The sequence below is a fragment of the Homo sapiens genome, chromosome 2 (genome assembly GCF_000001405.40).
Source record: "Homo sapiens chromosome 2, GRCh38.p14 Primary Assembly".
In the NCBI taxonomy this organism is placed as follows: domain Eukaryota; kingdom Metazoa; phylum Chordata; class Mammalia; order Primates; family Hominidae; genus Homo; species Homo sapiens.
The window spans coordinates 165376418-165392909 of NC_000002.12; the positions used below are offsets into that span (position 1 = coordinate 165376418).

The following is a 16492-nucleotide window of genomic DNA, read 5'->3' on the forward strand; positions in this document are numbered from 1 at the left end:
TGATATAATACTATACAACAATAAAATAAAATTTTTCTTCCTCTGTGTTTACAAATACTTCCTTAGGCCCATCTGCCTAGATTCCTCTTACCATGATTGAACTATCTTTTCTGCCCCACGCTGGAAACATGATGGTTCTAAAAACTTTATTGTCTCCCTGACTATGCATTTGGTAGCATAGCCAAGTCCTTTGTTACTGGGAGTTTAATCTAGGCACTCATTGTTTTCCTCCCTTCCTACTCTGAGGAAAGAAGTGCTGGCCCCAAGGGGGGTTGAAAAGGGGTGTGTGTGTGTGTGTGTATGTGTCCACACGCGTGTGTGTAGATAGAGAAAGAGAGAGAGACTTTCAAATAGGAAAATTGCTCTCTTGCAAATGAAAACTTTCCAATTAAGACTATTGTGTCTGCTATGCACTCATAATAATTCATTCAGCTATTCAACTGACTGCAGTATTAAATCTCCACTAGCTCCTGGACACAATCCACTTACACGATCCTCAAGACTATTAAAATAGTCAGGAAAGGGGAAGAGCCTGTGGCACTAAGGAACTGAAAAAATGTACAAGAGTTTTATTTTCAAGATCATTATGTCAACGGAGCAGAAAACAAATATTTAAAAAAGGAAATGCAGTAGAATATATTGTTTTCAGATTAGGAAACTGCTTCCTCTTATAGAGTAATCACCTCAAAATAGTATGATCAACAATATTAAGAAGATTTTCAAGAATAAGCTGTCATGATTGGTGATTGGTGTAATAATCATTTAGAAAAGAATAAGTAGAAAGGAAGCATTAAGATAAATAATGCAGCATACTTTTGAGCTTGTCTCATGCTGCTACTATACACATGAAATTTTTTCATCAAAGTTCATGATATATTTTTATATAAACACATCAGAGTCAAAGATTGTTCATATTGTTTTTATGATAGCATATTGTTACAGTAGATCATTATTTAATTATATATGCTAAATATCCACATAAGATGTTATAGAGGAATATAAATTTGAAGTATTTTCAATGCATATCGCAAAACATTGCCCCAAAAGTGAATACAAATTTCAAGCTTATTTATATGCCTGTATTGAATACATGTCAAATAGAATTTTGATCAATTATTCAATTTATTTTCTAAAATTATAATTTTGGGAAAAAAGAAAATGATATGACTTTTCTTACAGGCCACGTTTAAGGGATGGATGGATATTATGTATGCAGCTGTTGATTCACGAAATGTAAGTCTAGTTAGAGGGAAATTGTTTAGTTTGATTAAATGTATATTTCTACAATATTGTAATTTAGTGATATTGTCAATAAAATAAAATTATGTGCTTAATTTATAAAACCCATCTATATTATAAGGATAAAATATTTAATCATACTATTTCTTTCAAAATTATCATAGGATGATTTTCTCTAATCACTCTGTATCTTTTAACATATCTTTTCTAGTATTTAGCAAGGCACCTGACACAAAACTTTATTGTATGTATTTTCAAAATGAGACATTTTATTTTTGGCTCTGATAGTCCTGGTCATTTGTGCATTAGAAGTTCTCACAGGCAATATTTTTTATCTGTAATATATTTCCTCCAGCTTTTGATCTTCCTTATAATAGGAAGGATATGACTAAAAACGGGGACAAAAATAAACAATTTAGTGTTTCTCTTGGGAAAGTGAGATTAAGTGGTAGAAGGGAGGGACTTCCCTAATCTACTTTATACATACCAGTACTTTGAATTCTTTTCTATAATTTTCATTAATTTCTCACTATTTAATGAGGAATGAAGTCACATTTTGAAAAAAAAAAAAAAAGAGATTGATTTCTGGTATGCCAGAGCATGATAATAAAGCTCAAAATGCTCTTTCCCTAGCACCAGCAGCTAGCTTTCTGAGTGAAGAATTCCTGAGGTTTTTTTTTTTCTTTTTTCCACTTCATAAAAACAGAGAGGGAGCAAGAAAGCATGAAAAGCCCTGCATTGTATCTCTATAAGTGCTATCAGGAATTCCAGTTATGAGATTTTTCTGAATAGTAATAATAATTTATTGATTATCACTATTCACTGTGCCAAGGACTTTCTCACATTATCCCATTTAATCCTAAATGACAACCTTATTGTATAGGTGATACTAGCTCTATTTTACTACTGAAGCAAAGAGGCTTAATGCGTTAAATGGGAAAACAAGTTTTTGAACCCTGACCACAAATAATGGCTCATACCCACTTTCCACAGTGGTTCTTACCTTTTTGATTAATTAATTCAATGCTCTCTCCACCTTCCTTATCAATAGCTTATATGCCATGAAACATTTTCAGTTTCTTCTTTAATAACTTAGCAGACCTTTTCCGCTGCAAAACTCCTGGAATTTCCAGCACATTACAAAAGATGAAAGCCAATTGAGCACTACATTTATGAAAAGTTGCTGGATCTTGAACTTTAATTAGTAAATTGCATCAGATAAATGCAAATTTAAACCAAAATAAAACATTATCTACACACCTACCAGATTGGCAATACCAAAAAGTCTGACAATACCAAGTTTTACCAAGGATAAACAGCAATAAGAACACTCGTACAATGCTGATAGGAAAAAAAATAGTTAAATAATCCTTTAAAAACAGTTGGGTATGATCACATTATTTGAGAAAGTTAAAGATATTTTTTAATACTGCAATTCTACTTTGAACAACGTATCCTAAAGAAACTTATGCACATGTTTAGGATAATCTATGTACAAAAATGAATATAACTTTTTTTTGCACTTGCAAAAAACTGGGAGCAACTCAAAAACAGTAGAAATAGGCAAATAATTGAATACTATATAGTGATGAAAATGAATGAATACCGCCATATACAACCACATGGATGAGCCTTAAAAATACAACATTGAGTTAAAGAAACTAGACACATACTATAATTCTACTTATATAAAGTTCGAAATTGACAAAACTAAGCTTATTGTTCAAAACTGCATACTGAGGTGTTAACTTGAAAGAAAAAGCAGGGACATCATTACCATAAAAGTCAGGATAATGATTACCTCCAGCAGGGATGATGGAGTTTATGTTTGAGAAGGGTACACCAAGGGTTTCTGAAGTTGTAGCAATGTCCTGGGTTATGGATTTCACTTATAAAACATATTATATTTTGCATTTATGTATTATGCACTTTCCTGTATGTATATTGTCTTTTAAAAATTTTAAAAATATAATTTTACATCACTGTTAACTAAACTCACATACACAAATAAAATCTCATCGAAGAATAGCAGTTTTACAATATTCCTGATATTTTCCATTTTGCTGTATTTCCTTAGAAACAAAATTATGCTGGTCATAATCCTCTAAATTGATTTCATAACACAGTGGGTTATAACTTGCATCTATTATCATCATCAGGGATTGGTTAACTGAGTTGGTTAGAACAATGTCCTATTAGACCTGTGAAAGCTTACAGCTAAGGCGCAAACCTACTATCACACAGTTTTCTAAACAAAAGTGGATTAGACAAGAGATAGTATCATTGTTACAGAAACAGTCCCTACTGAATAGGATAAAGCAATAGATTCATTTTCAGAAAGGAAAGATCAACCTATATACCTACATGCAGACCTACTACAATGATTCTTGCCTATCTAAAGAAATGTATTATACCAAACCCTTACACTTAGCAATTACTACTGGCCGCCACTGTTCTAAGCATATTTATATGTTAATATAGTTAATCTTCACAACCACACTATGAGGTTTAAGTTTGATTATTTTCATCTCACAGATGAGAAAACTGAGTCAGAGAAAGTAAATCTTAAAAGTTTTGACATAGAATAATGTGACGCTGACATCTCTTTTGTAAGAAGAGGAAATCTTTAATTTGCATGCTGTGTTGGGAACTTTGCTTAGAAAGGAAAGTGCATTCATAATCTGGGCATTTGTTGGGTGAAATTGTCTATAATCATTCAGACTTCTATATGGTTATTTCATTTTCCCAGGTAATGAATAGTCTTGCAGAACTCTTCAATAAGCATGTGAGATTTGAAGGTTCATAAAATCTGTTTAGTGTTTGGTTTATTTTCATTCCAGAGATTAAAACATGCTTAGATAATTAAAAACTCACTGATGTACTTTTTGTGAAACAAGTACTAGATATAATGGTTACAATTCTTCATATTCTTTAGGTAGAATTACAACCCAAGTATGAAGACAACCTGTACATGTATCTTTATTTTGTCATCTTTATTATTTTTGGTTCATTCTTTACCTTGAATCTTTTCATTGGTGTCATCATAGATAACTTCAACCAACAGAAAAAGAAGATAAGTATATTAAAACTTCATCCTTGCTCTGAAATATGAACTAAATATTTCATACTCTTTCCTTTAGCCTCCAAAATGCAATCACCAAAAAAAGAATATAAAATTCAGAAATTATTTTGAGACATTTGATAATCGATAAGCTTTTAAGCAATTAATAATTCAGATAGCATGTTTTTGATATTTTTAGTCTAGAAATATGACTAATATGGCATAATTTATATATTGAATAAAGGCATCTCTATAAATACAGATATTAGTAACAATAGAATGAAATGTGGGAGCCAATTTTCACATGATTACTAAGGTGGATTTTATAGCCAGCAAAGAACACAATTTTAACAAGTGTTGCTTTCATTTCTTTACTTTGGAGGTCAAGACATTTTTATGACAGAAGAACAGAAGAAATACTACAATGCAATGAAAAAACTGGGTTCAAAGAAACCACAAAAACCCATACCTCGACCTGCTGTAAGAATAACATATTTTCATTGCCTGTTAAAACTATATTACCTAACCGTTTCACAGCCCGAATTTCTAGAAACTAGTTATTTTTGTGGATTTGTAACACAAAGTTTTTTACCTTAACAATGGGACTAGCTAGCCTAAATAGCTTGAAAAATGTACTTTACATATATAATATGTATAAATTATATAATGCATAACATATTTTATATGTAAACATATAAAATACATAGAAATAAAATTTGCTATACTTAAGTGCCAGTGGTATCATACAAGCTGATGTCATTAAGACACTTCTAATAACATCAAAAATAAAATACATACATACATAATGTGAAAATATTAAATGTTCTCAGAGTACAGAGGAGACAGATCGGAATAATTGGTACGTCACAGATTGGCCTCAGTTTTTGTCCAACTCTGCAGATTGAATGGAATCATTAATGAAACAGGCCACAGGTTTTGCTTTTTTCTGGTTAAACAAAAAAAAGACAAACCTCATATTTTCCCCTACTATCCCACCCTTAAATGAGATGATATCATTCTTTGTAGGGCTTTTTATTGGCTCTTCCAGGTGTACATTTGCCAGTGATACTGTTCGTTCAGTTTGGCTGCTGCAGGGAGTTGCTGCCAGGAGAATCGCTAAGTTTTTCTATCACTCCTGAAGGACTAGCTCATATATTAAGTCTCAGAAAATCTTCCCCAACGTATACGTGGTATAAAACACTTCAGTGTTTCTCAGAAATCTTGACTCTATAAATCTATTGGTGACAATATAAAACAGACCGTAATTAAGTGTTCAGTTGGTAAGCCGGCCAATAACTCAAAGAAAATGGATAGCTATATTGGGTCAAACACAAAGGGTGTACAACTTGAGCCTAGTCTTTAGGAAATAATACAATTTGAATGAATAGAGAGAGAAGCAGAGAACATTTACTGTATGAGAAAATGTATACTTCATAGCCATATAGACAAATATATCAGTGCAGAATAGTGATGCATTTGAATTAGTGAGTAGTAGACACTGGTTTTCCGAGTTACATGAGACAAGGTTACCATACGAGTCTGAAGAAATTTGTTCTAATTAAGCAATACAAATGCAATATAGTTAACAGAACAGCCTAGTAATGTGAAAAGAAAGATTTTAGAGAGTTTAACCTAGAGACTGGTGTGGAACAATATTAGAGGCAAAATAACCCTCGGCCATAGACAAGAAGATAAACCCTTACATACAAGAAGATAGTCCATAATCTGTGTCCAACCAGCAGGACTGGAACTACTCCAGGAGTGAAGTTAGCCAATAAGAAGACTCAATTGGGATGAAACACAGGAAAAGAGGGAGGATGCAATGAAAAAACTGGGTTCAAAGAAACCACAATAACCCATACCTCGACCTGCTGTAAGAATAGCATATTTTCATTGCCTGTTATGAAACACAGGAAAAGAGGGAGGATATGTAAATAACAGAGAATCTAAAATATAAGCTAGTTGATATTTTGTGAAACTGTTGGTTCCACTATCATATACTGAAGTCATATGAAGGCACTGGGAAAAATAGTGTTAGAGCCTATGAAATGTCCAGACTGAAATAAGGATTTTAGCATTGTCAGAACAAAATTCAATTGAGCTCTGAAACACAGATTCATTTTTGAAAAATAATTAGAATAGAGAAAAAAACAAAATTCTCAGAATGAGGCCTTGCATACTTCATCAAGATATAGGAAGAAATAAATCAATGAAGAAATGAGCTTGAGTTTGTTTCCATCAAATGACATGGATTTACCTGTAGTGGTAGGGGTGTGTGGAAAAAGTTCAACACATTCAGCTAGAATATTATCAGTGTCAATTTGGCAATTTAGCAAGTAACTAGTAAAATCCATTTATTCCTGCATTGACAATATGTACTATGTAGTATGCTAAGCATTTGAACTTAAATATCGAACAGTATGGAGTCTAGTTAATGCAACGGATAGTAATCAAATAGTCCTGCCAAAAAATGGAAGTATCCCAGAAAAAAAGGGATACTTTCAGCTGTGAGAGCTGATTAGGGGGAAGGGGCTGATTAATCAGGGAAGTTAGGGAAGGCTTTATTAAAAAAATATACTAGCTGAGGATGGAAAAAGAATAGAAAGCATCAATAGCCAGAGTGGGATGAGAAGAGCCCTGTAGAAGGGGAATGAATTTGTGAAGGTCCTTATGTAGGAGGGCTGGTGAGACTGGAGTGCAGAAAGTCAAGGTTCATTTGGGACACACTGAGAATAAAGAGGTTAGGATAAGCCCAAACTTTTCTGGGCCTTGGAGGCCGTGTTAAGGAGTAGTTTTCATCCTAAGAGCAGTAAGAAACCGTTAACGTGGACCCAGTCAGTCTGGGCTTTGTGGTGATCACTCAATCAGTTTCACAGAGGCCGTGTGAATACATTGTAGACTTGTTTTGGAGCTATTTCAGAGATGGTAGGTAGCCTGAACCATAGCAATGTGCAGATTAATAAAAGTGGATGGATTTGTGAGCTATCACCAGAGTGAAATTTAAAAGTTTGTCTATTAATTGAATATGGGAACTAAAGAAGGAACCAACAAGAATGACTGGTGTCTTTCTGCTTTGCACAACTGGATAAATACTGATGTCATGCAGGAAATGAAGAAGGGACAGAAAGTGGTGAGAAAATTGGAGATGCTAGTTTGCAGAATTTGGCAAACGAGTCAGAGTGAGAGAGTGAGAGGAAGGAGGAAGGGAGAGAAATGATGAATATTTAGAAGTAGCAAAATAAAGGTTTCTTAAGATTCAGAGATTAGGTTTAAAGGAAAGCAAAAGGAATTTTAGAGAGGAAAAGATCGAAGACAGAGGGAATAATTACGGCATAAAAATGCACAAGATGTGGGACAAGGACATAGTGGTCTAGGGTAGCTTTAGAAAGAAAAAGGGGCTGAGTCCTCTAATGAATTTGGAGTAATATATGAAAAGAACATGGAAATTAAAATAATATGAAATGCAAAAGGAAACAGAGGAGTTTATTTAAACTGTTTAAATTTAATGTTCTAAAAAAAGTAAAAATAGAGGGCAAGAGAATGGAAATTTATGAGAAGTTTGGAATTATCTTTGGAGCAAATGAAGGACAAAGGATTGCTAATTGTTAAATCTGAAGGGCCAAGATGAAGTTAGAGAACATAAATTTTTGGTGAATAAGATCTTCAGAATTATACATCTTGTTCCAGCATATTTGACACCCTAGGATTTAAATGGGAGAACAGAACACAGAGACTCGAGACTGGAGTTGTACATTGAGATGTCTGTCTCATTGGACAACTCTATGAACAGGGAATCTAAACAGTTTTTTATTAGTCATGGTGATATTAAAATTAAGACCAAATTTCTGCTTTTAAGATATTTTGAACTTACTATACTCTAGGAGCCATATCTGAGAGAAAAATGATACTGCTCCTGCTTTTGAGGGGCCTCAAAACAAGTGGAAGGGAAAGAAAACTAAAATTGAATAAGAGCAAACCATTTGCAATACAATGCCATACATTTTATGATCAATGAAAGCACTCAGTTTTCTGAGAGCACTAAGTGCTTTAAACTCAAAACTGAGTTAGAATTCATGAGACAGAGAAGGAGTGGGGGACATGTGTTTTAGACAGAATAGTAGACAGATAAACTATGTAAAATGATACAGTAGAACCTGCCTAAGCTTCTAAGAGTGGTAGGCAGGAAATATCAGAGGGTGGAAGTAAGGGGAAGATGCCAGACTTGGAAAGTTAAACTACAGTAAATTAATAATTAATAAGGAAGGGTTTGAACTAAAAGTAGACACATTTATTGGGTTGAAAAAGGCCCTGAGAAGACAGATCCAGCTGGAGTAATAGAAATCTAGTTCAGCAGGCCAAATACGCATTCAGAGAAAAGAGCAAAACAAAATAGAACAAGTAGTGTTTGATGTCCAAAAATCACCATTGGAAGTAATAGAAGCCTCCCAATAGAAAGAGGGCAGAACACTAAGATGTAGAATCCAGGCCACTAAAAGTGTCAGGATCTGGGAAAGCAAGCCATTAGGTGTATATGTAGCAGAGTATTAGTCATTCTAGTTGAGAAGGTAGAGAAAGGCAGCCCAACAGAGGTTAAGTCAAGACCAGATCCCTAGATTACCTGAGAAACAAAGCAGATACGTGCAAAATGGAACAATACAGAAACCAATGATCAGAACTGGTTTACAAGTTGGGGACTTCATTTCATAAGCAAGACATAAGGCAATTAGTACTTGGAAATAAGGTCCAAATAGACTAGGGCAAAGATTGAATATTTCCATTGTGACTTTTTAAAAGATAATTTTATTCTTACAGAAGAGTTACTCATAATGAATACTCTAATGAATCTATACACAGTGTCCTCTTGTTTTAACATCTTATGCAACCATAGATCAGTTCTCACAACTAAGAAATTAATCTTGATATAATACCATTAAATAAAATACAGAACTGAGTCAGATTTCACCAGTTTTTCCACTGAAGCCTTTTCTCTAGAATGATGATTTTTAAAACATCTTAGCTGAACTTTAAAATGAAATTTAAGATGCTGTAGCTTTAGTGAGAGAATATAAAGTCAGAAATCAGACGAAAAATTTAAAAAGAGAGAGGAAAACTTGGAGAAGTATTTATTTATTAGTTGCTTAAAGTAAAATTAATACCCTCCCAACACATGGGATAAAAAATTTTATTACATGACAAATATTTACTAACTGTCCGTCATAACATGATGGTGTTCTGTGCACTGAGAACATAATACGTGAGTTTATAAAACCTGGTATCAATGTGAGTATAAATAAAACAAATACATTTGAATACAGTTGAATATACAATATACAAAATTTTCTTCCAAGTATAAAACGAAAATAAAATACACTACTTTCTTTAATAGAATAGAACATTGTAATAATGTTCCATTGCATTTGACCCTCACATAAATGCTATGAGGTAGCATTAAGAGATAAGATTTGAGGCTGGGCATGGTGGCTCATGCCTGTAATTCCAGCACTTTGGGAGGTCGAGGTGGGCAGATCATTAGGTCAGGAGTTTGAGACCAGCCTGACCAATACGGTGAAATCCCGTCTCTACTAAAATTACAAAAAGTAGTCGGGCATGGTGGCATGTACCTGTAATCCCAGCTACTCAGGAGGCTGAGGCAGGAGTATCGCTTGAACCCGGGAGGCAGAGGTTGCAGTGAGCCAAGATCGTGCCACTGCACTCCAACCTGTGCAACAGAGCGAGACTCCATCTCAAAAAATAAAAAAAATTAAAAAAAAGAGAGAGAGATAAGATTTGAGATCTGACATGGAGCTTCCCTATTTACACTACTTACCTGCTTTGTGACCTAAGGCAAGTTACCTCAGCTCTCCAATCACTGGTTTTGCAAGGAATTTTTTTTTTTGTAAAATGTTGTGAGGATTAAAGATGTGTTTTTATAAAAGCTACATTTTTTGTTGCTTTCTTAAAATCAGAAGAATTGAATTCGATTTTTTTTAAGGTTTCTAATGGAACTTTTACATATTATTTGTTCCAGAACAAATTCCAAGGAATGGTCTTTGATTTTGTAACCAAACAAGTCTTTGATATCAGCATCATGATCCTCATCTGCCTTAACATGGTCACCATGATGGTGGAAACCGATGACCAGAGTCAAGAAATGACAAACATTCTGTACTGGATTAATCTGGTGTTTATTGTTCTGTTCACTGGAGAATGTGTGCTGAAACTGATCTCTCTTCGTTACTACTATTTCACTATTGGATGGAATATTTTTGATTTTGTGGTGGTCATTCTCTCCATTGTAGGTAAGAAGAGGTGCTTTTATTCAGTTAAGGAATATAGTGGTAAAAATATGTGTTTTAAAACTTTAGAGGTGTTTTTCACTAATCTTTCTCATTCATCCCAAACTCCCAAATAAAAATCTAATAGTCCATTGTTTTAGTTTTAGTTTGCCATTTCTCTAATTGCATGCTGTGCTTGAAATGATGAGTGGAATACAAGGAATTTATATTTTCAGCTTTCATTTATTCTCATTTAATATTTTCATCTGTTCTCATCTCAGAAGACAATAACTGCAACTTTGGTAGAATAGTCTTGTACCTGGTCATACTCCTGTGGTATTGACAGTTACTGCTTTGAATAAACAATCAATCCACACACATATATACATAAATCATTTGAAGTAGTCACATAATTCATAAATATGACCTCTTAAATAATTGGAATAGTGTATATGTGCAGTTATATATATAATAACACATATATAAGTTTCATGTTATCTTTGGGTGCAGACAGTTTTCTGTGGTTTGCAATATCTCTTTTTGGAAGCAGATAGTTTGTTTGAAAATCCAAAACAGATTTGTTATCATCAATGATACATTAATGTTAGGATACATACATACATTAAGTCCTAGGAATGCAAAAGATTTATTGGAAAAAATATATATATACAGTGTTTATGTATAAGATATTAAATGAGGTACTGGAAGTAAATATAAGAAGATTTAAGAGAAGGTTCTACCTATTTGGGGAAACAGAACATTCACATGGAGGGGAAAATTATATAGCACTCTTTAAACTACTTTCTTTAGTCGAATAGAACATTGTAACAATGTTCCACTGCATTTGATTCTCACATAAGTGCTATGAGGTAGCATTAAGAGGTAAGATTTGAGATCTGACCTGGAGCTTCCCTATTTACACTACTTACCTTCTCAGTGACCTAAGAGAAGTTACCTCAGCTCTCCAATCTCTGGTTTTGCAAGGAATTTTTCTGTAAAATGTTATTGTGAGGATTAAATCAGATTATGTATATATATGCACTTAGCACTGTGCCTAGCATGAAGAAAAGACTTAGTAAATGTTCAGTTTGACCACAAGAAAAAGTTGATATTATCACCATTTACTCATGCATAAAAGCAAGTGCCAGGATTCAGTCCCAAGTACATCTGTCTCCAAAGCCTATGTTTTCTTCTGTACATCACGCTGCCTACTCCCAAATAACATAGAATCTCAGAAAGTAAAGAACTCTCATATTCCTGACCCAAAATCATACACCTTTAGTTCTTATGCAAATACTAGAACTAGTATTTTGGACATATAAATTAATTTCTGTACTTGGCCACTGTATGCTTCATGATGTCTTTGGACCTTCCAGGGTTGAGTCATTTTTTTGATAGATGCTTTCCTTGAACTAGGAAAAATGGCCCTTATTATCTTCATTTAATATAAAGATGTAAATGTTATAACACCAAACATACCAGTTTCATTTTGCTCAACAAACATTGCAGATTATTTGCATATATACATGTACCTAACTGTCCTGTTCACATTTTGTAAAACTAATGTACTTATGTAAACTTTCATTTGCTACTATTAAGTATAACAATATTTTTGTTATTTGTTGATTTTCTACAGGAATGTTTCTGGCTGAACTGATAGAAAAGTATTTTGTGTCCCCTACCCTGTTCCGAGTGATCCGTCTTGCCAGGATTGGCCGAATCCTACGTCTGATCAAAGGAGCAAAGGGGATCCGCACGCTGCTCTTTGCTTTGATGATGTCCCTTCCTGCGTTGTTTAACATCGGCCTCCTTCTTTTCCTGGTCATGTTCATCTACGCCATCTTTGGGATGTCCAATTTTGCCTATGTTAAGAGGGAAGTTGGGATCGATGACATGTTCAACTTTGAGACCTTTGGCAACAGCATGATCTGCCTGTTCCAAATTACAACCTCTGCTGGCTGGGATGGATTGCTAGCACCTATTCTTAATAGTGGACCTCCAGACTGTGACCCTGACAAAGATCACCCTGGAAGCTCAGTTAAAGGAGACTGTGGGAACCCATCTGTTGGGATTTTCTTTTTTGTCAGTTACATCATCATATCCTTCCTGGTTGTGGTGAACATGTACATCGCGGTCATCCTGGAGAACTTCAGTGTTGCTACTGAAGAAAGTGCAGAGCCTCTGAGTGAGGATGACTTTGAGATGTTCTATGAGGTTTGGGAGAAGTTTGATCCCGATGCGACCCAGTTTATAGAGTTTGCCAAACTTTCTGATTTTGCAGATGCCCTGGATCCTCCTCTTCTCATAGCAAAACCCAACAAAGTCCAGCTCATTGCCATGGATCTGCCCATGGTGAGTGGTGACCGGATCCACTGTCTTGACATCTTATTTGCTTTTACAAAGCGTGTTTTGGGTGAGAGTGGAGAGATGGATGCCCTTCGAATACAGATGGAAGAGCGATTCATGGCATCAAACCCCTCCAAAGTCTCTTATGAGCCCATTACGACCACGTTGAAACGCAAACAAGAGGAGGTGTCTGCTATTATTATCCAGAGGGCTTACAGACGCTACCTCTTGAAGCAAAAAGTTAAAAAGGTATCAAGTATATACAAGAAAGACAAAGGCAAAGAATGTGATGGAACACCCATCAAAGAAGATACTCTCATTGATAAACTGAATGAGAATTCAACTCCAGAGAAAACCGATATGACGCCTTCCACCACGTCTCCACCCTCGTATGATAGTGTGACCAAACCAGAAAAAGAAAAATTTGAAAAAGACAAATCAGAAAAGGAAGACAAAGGGAAAGATATCAGGGAAAGTAAAAAGTAAAAAGAAACCAAGAATTTTCCATTTTGTGATCAATTGTTTACAGCCCGTGATGGTGATGTGTTTGTGTCAACAGGACTCCCACAGGAGGTCTATGCCAAACTGACTGTTTTTACAAATGTATACTTAAGGTCAGTGCCTATAACAAGACAGAGACCTCTGGTCAGCAAACTGGAACTCAGTAAACTGGAGAAATAGTATCGATGGGAGGTTTCTATTTTCACAACCAGCTGACACTGCTGAAGAGCAGAGGCGTAATGGCTACTCAGACGATAGGAACCAATTTAAAGGGGGGAGGGAAGTTAAATTTTTATGTAAATTCAACATGTGACACTTGATAATAGTAATTGTCACCAGTGTTTATGTTTTAACTGCCACACCTGCCATATTTTTACAAAACGTGTGCTGTGAATTTATCACTTTTCTTTTTAATTCACAGGTTGTTTACTATTATATGTGACTATTTTTGTAAATGGGTTTGTGTTTGGGGAGAGGGATTAAAGGGAGGGAATTCTACATTTCTCTATTGTATTGTATAACTGGATATATTTTAAATGGAGGCATGCTGCAATTCTCATTCACACATAAAAAAATCACATCACAAAAGGGAAGAGTTTACTTCTTGTTTCAGGATGTTTTTAGATTTTTGAGGTGCTTAAATAGCTATTCGTATTTTTAAGGTGTCTCATCCAGAAAAAATTTAATGTGCCTGTAAATGTTCCATAGAATCACAAGCATTAAAGAGTTGTTTTATTTTTACATAACCCATTAAATGTACATGTATATATGTATATATGTATATGTGCGTGTATATACATATATATGTATACACACATGCACACACAGAGATATACACATACCATTACATTGTCATTCACAGTCCCAGCAGCATGACTATCACATTTTTGATAAGTGTCCTTTGGCATAAAATAAAAATATCCTATCAGTCCTTTCTAAGAAGCCTGAATTGACCAAAAAACATCCCCACCACCACTTTATAAAGTTGATTCTGCTTTATCCTGCAGTATTGTTTAGCCATCTTCTGCTCTTGGTAAGGTTGACATAGTATATGTCAATTTAAAAAATAAAAGTCTGCTTTGTAAATAGTAATTTTACCCAGTGGTGCATGTTTGAGCAAACAAAAATGATGATTTAAGCACACTACTTATTGCATCAAATATGTACCACAGTAAGTATAGTTTGCAAGCTTTCAACAGGTAATATGATGTAATTGGTTCCATTATAGTTTGAAGCTGTCACTGCTGCATGTTTATCTTGCCTATGCTGCTGTATCTTATTCCTTCCACTGTTCAGAAGTCTAATATGGGAAGCCATATATCAGTGGTAAAGTGAAGCAAATTGTTCTACCAAGACCTCATTCTTCATGTCATTAAGCAATAGGTTGCAGCAAACAAGGAAGAGCTTCTTGCTTTTTATTCTTCCAACCTTAATTGAACACTCAATGATGAAAAGCCCGACTGTACAAACATGTTGCAAGCTGCTTAAATCTGTTTAAAATATATGGTTAGAGTTTTCTAAGAAAATATAAATACTGTAAAAAGTTCATTTTATTTTATTTTTCAGCCTTTTGTACGTAAAATGAGAAATTAAAAGTATCTTCAGGTGGATGTCACAGTCACTATTGTTAGTTTCTGTTCCTAGCACTTTTAAATTGAAGCACTTCACAAAATAAGAAGCAAGGACTAGGATGCAGTGTAGGTTTCTGCTTTTTTATTAGTACTGTAAACTTGCACACATTTCAATGTGAAACAAATCTCAAACTGAGTTCAATGTTTATTTGCTTTCAATAGTAATGCCTTATCATTGAAAGAGGCTTAAAGAAAAAAAAAATCAGCTGATACTCTTGGCATTGCTTGAATCCAATGTTTCCACCTAGTCTTTTTATTCAGTAATCATCAGTCTTTTCCAATGTTTGTTTACACAGATAGATCTTATTGACCCATATGGCACTAGAACTGTATCAGATATAATATGGGATCCCAGCTTTTTTTCCTCTCCCACAAAACCAGGTAGTGAAGTTATATTACCAGTTACAGCAAAATACTTTGTGTTTCACAAGCAACAATAAATGTAGATTCTTTATACTGAAGCTATTGACTTGTAGTGTGTTGGTGAAATGCATGCAGGAAAATGCTGTTACCATAAAGAACGGTAAACCACATTACAATCAAGCCAAAAGAATAAAGGTTTCGCTTTTGTTTTTGTATTTAATTGTTGTCTTTGTTTCTATCTTTGAAATGCCATTTAAAGGTAGATTTCTATCATGTAAAAATAATCTATCTGAAAAACAAATGTAAAGAACACACATTAATTACTATAATTCATCTTTCAATTTTTTCATGGAATGGAAGTTAATTAAGAAGAGTGTATTGGATAACTACTTTAATATTGGCCAAAAAGCTAGATATGGCATCAGGTAGACTAGTGGAAAGTTACAAAAATTAATAAAAAATTGACTAACATTTTAAGTTGTGCATCTTTTCTCCTTCCTGTCCACCTATTGTTCTTTTTTTCACTTTTCCATTTCAATTTCTTCCTTATGTATTCTTGATCTACTTTTCTTTATATCCTTCTATCCTTTCCTTGCGCTCTCAGTATTTTTCATTTAGGATATTCTCCTTGTTTCTTTTCTGTTCACCAAATGTCTTGTTTATTACAGCCTATAGATCACTTAGATTTAGATCCCTAAAATTTGCTGTCACTCTGTAAAGTGCACATAGTATCTGCGTATTTATTTTTACAATTTTCTTTACAAAAATTCTAAGAAAGCTTAGACTGCAACTTTTCATAATATATAAACAAAATTCCAAAATAGCACAGATTTGACTTTCTCATTTAATTATGAACAGTTTGGGAAATGTTTCTCAATTCTGAATGCATATTAGAACTACCTGAGAAGCAAAAAAAAAAAAAAAAAAAAAGCCAGTGCATGGGCCAAGACCAGGACCAGACCAATTGAACTCATATCTCTGGGTGAGACTTAAGCATTTAATTTTTTGAAGGCTCGTCATTGATACTGATTCATACCAAGGACTGAGAACTAGCAAATTTGGGTCTCCTTTGCCCA

At 34.3% G+C, this 16492-nt stretch overlaps 1 protein-coding gene across 5 annotated transcripts in view; it reads left to right on the forward strand.

The window, feature by feature from the left end:
* SCN2A (sodium voltage-gated channel alpha subunit 2) overlaps window positions 1–15887 on the forward strand; it is a 152891-nt gene extending 137004 nt beyond the window's left edge. For all 5 annotated transcript variants that reach the window (NM_001040143.2, NM_001371246.1, NM_001040142.2 and 2 more), the window contains 5 exons: window positions 1180–1233; window positions 4175–4312; window positions 4676–4780; window positions 10329–10599; window positions 12212–15887. In NM_001040143.2, the coding sequence (NP_001035233.1) occupies window positions 1180–1233; window positions 4175–4312; window positions 4676–4780; window positions 10329–10599; window positions 12212–13407 (1764 nt within the window). In that variant the 3' untranslated portion in view covers window positions 13408–15887. The remainder of the gene's footprint in view (window positions 1–1179; window positions 1234–4174; window positions 4313–4675; window positions 4781–10328; window positions 10600–12211) is intronic.